Raw genomic sequence first — 2645 nt, forward strand, 5'->3', positions numbered from 1 at the left:
TCTGAGAGAGTGGAATTCAACCTAATTAAACAAAACTTTACTTCTATATTTCAGAGCATAACTTTCTGGATTGTAATTTGGGAACATTTTGTTCTACACCTGTACTTCAATGGATATTAGAGAGGACTTTAATCAACTTTGTAGAAATTAACAGCAGCAATAAGAGAATGAATTAAGTATGAGCTTATGAATAATACACTATTTACAGAAGAATCTGTAACATTTGATTGTAAACCAAAAATAAAATTCTAAGTCCCCCAACCATCTAAATGGACCCTTCTTCTCAGCCAAGGGCATTCCAAAGTTAACCTGGAAAACTAGTTCAGGCTGTGACAGGAAGGAGTTGAACATACCTCATTACACTCTCCTCCCTTTTGGAATTCGGGCCCACTTGACCAGCATTAATATCAACACAGACCTTAAGACTGATAGACTGTCTGAGTCTGGCAAGAAACATTTACAGTCTATTCTCTGAAGCCTGCTACCTGGAGGCTTCATCTGCAATAAAACCTTGGTCCACACAGCACATTATCTTAACCCTGACATTTCTTTCTGTTGATTTTAAATCTTTAGACAATACTTAACTCTTTTAACCAATTGTCAATCAGAAAATATTTGAATCTACCTCTGACCTGGAAGCCACCCCACCACCACCTTTCCGGACCAAACCAATGTACCTCCTACATGTATTGATTGAAGTCTTATGTTTTCCTAAAATGTATAAAGCCAAGGTGTAGCCTGACCACCTTGCGTCCATGTTCTCAGGATCGCCTGAGGGCTGTGTCATGGGCCATTGGTCACTCATATTTGGCTCAGAGTAAATCTCTTCAAATATTTTACAGACTGTACTAGTTAGTTTTCATACTGCTATGAAGACATACCTGAGACTGGGTAGTTTATAAAGGAAAGAGGTTTAATTGACTCACCATTCCACATGTCTTGGTTAGCCTCAGCAAACTTACAATCTTGGTGGAAAGCATCTCTTCACAGGACAGCAGGGAAGAGAATGAGTCCCAACTGAAGGAGGAAGGCCCTTATAAAACCATCAGATCTCGTGAGAACTTACTATCATGAGAATAGCATGGGGGAACTGCCCCCATGATACAATGATCTCCCACTGGGTTCCTTTCACCACATGTAGGGATTATGGGAACTACAACTGAAGATGAGATTTGGGTGGGGACACAGCCAAACCATATCACAGAGCTTGACTCTTTTCATCTATAGATTATTACATTTAAATCTGTTAATTGAAATCTAATAAATGAATCATGGGAATAAATAAAAGAGTAGGTAAGTGACTGAATGACAAACAGGAAAATTTCACCTAGTAAAATAAACAAGTATGATTTTATAGTATCCAATCATCTTTTAGCAACAATAAATGAGATGTATCTTTTCCAATGCTGAATAAATATTTAAGAAAAAGAAAACCCCTCCATCTTATCTTAAATATATGTGTACCTTCTTTTTTATATAATATTGACATGAAGAAAATAAACTTAGAAAATTATTTGACTCCTTACTTAAAAAGATCATGCAAAACATGCAATTGAGACACAGGCTAACTCATGGACAGAAGTAGTGTGTAATATCTCTTGGCTGTTTTGCCAGAACTCACCCCAAAAATGGCTTTCCTTTGTGAACCCTGAATATCTGAGACAGGTCTCAGTTAATTTAGAAAGTTTATTTTGCCAACGTTGAGGATGTGCACCCATGACACAGCCTCAGGAGGTCCTAATGACATGTGTCCAAGGTGGTTGGGGCACAGCTTGGTTTTATACACTTTAAGGAGACATGAGACATCAATCAATATATGTAAGATGTACATTGGTTCTGTCCAGAAAGGTGGGACAACTCAAAGCAGGGAGGCAGCTTCCAGGTCACAGGTAGGTGAGAGAAAAATAGCTTCATTCTTTTAAGTATCTGATTAGGCTTTCCAAAGGAAGCAATCAGATATGCATCTATCTTAGTGAGCAGAGGGATGACTTTGAATAGAATGGCAGGCAGGTTTGCCCTAAGCAGTTCCCAGCTTGACTATTCCCTTTAGCTTAGTGATTTGGGGGCCCCAAGATTTATTTTCCCATCAAATTTCCCCCCTTTTCTTTTAAAAATATTTGGAGGAAGCATTTTAGAAGACAGTGAGTCTCTGGTCTGGTCTCTCATGGCTAGGACAGTTTATTCCTAGATGGGTAGGTTTTAGGTTATTAGGAAAGCTCATTTTTAGCAGCTTGTGAAGTCTCATGTCCTGTGAAGAGAAAACAGAGGGAGGAAGGGAGAAAAACAACAACAACAAAAAGAACAATCCTAGAAAATTAATATAGCCACATTGCTCTGAAGTCCATATATCAATAGGCAGGTATGAAAGCGGCTTATGTATATAAATAAGTTGTTATTTTCTTCTGAAGTTTAAGTTGTCTAGCTTCAGTTTGCTAGGATTTAAGAAAGCATGGCTTAGTTTCCAGTGATTTCAAACTAGGAAAAATGGGGAAAAAAGGTAAAGAAAGAAAAAAAAATTGAAAGCATTATTTTGGAGACTTATAGCCAGGAAAAATTAGAATTCAGTCCAAAGTGTAGAAAATAATAAAATTTGAAAAACATTAGGCAAAACTAGAATGTAACAACAAGTATGCTGTAGTTTTTGA

General features: G+C 37.4%; 1 annotated feature.

Moving 5' to 3' along the window:
- Positions 1039-1208: an enhancer, noted in NCBI's record as "experimental_39831 CRE fragment used in MPRA reporter constructs". NCBI's record gives its function as "activates a minimal promoter by MPRAs in K562 erythroleukemia cells, with activity observed for both the introgressed and non-introgressed 15:54114538 variant alleles {active_cell/tissue: K562}" and the evidence as "EXISTENCE:reporter gene assay evidence [ECO:0000049][PMID:34662402]".

Source organism: Homo sapiens, chromosome 15, assembly GCF_000001405.40.
Source record: "Homo sapiens chromosome 15, GRCh38.p14 Primary Assembly".
Lineage (NCBI taxonomy): Eukaryota > Metazoa > Chordata > Mammalia > Primates > Hominidae > Homo > Homo sapiens.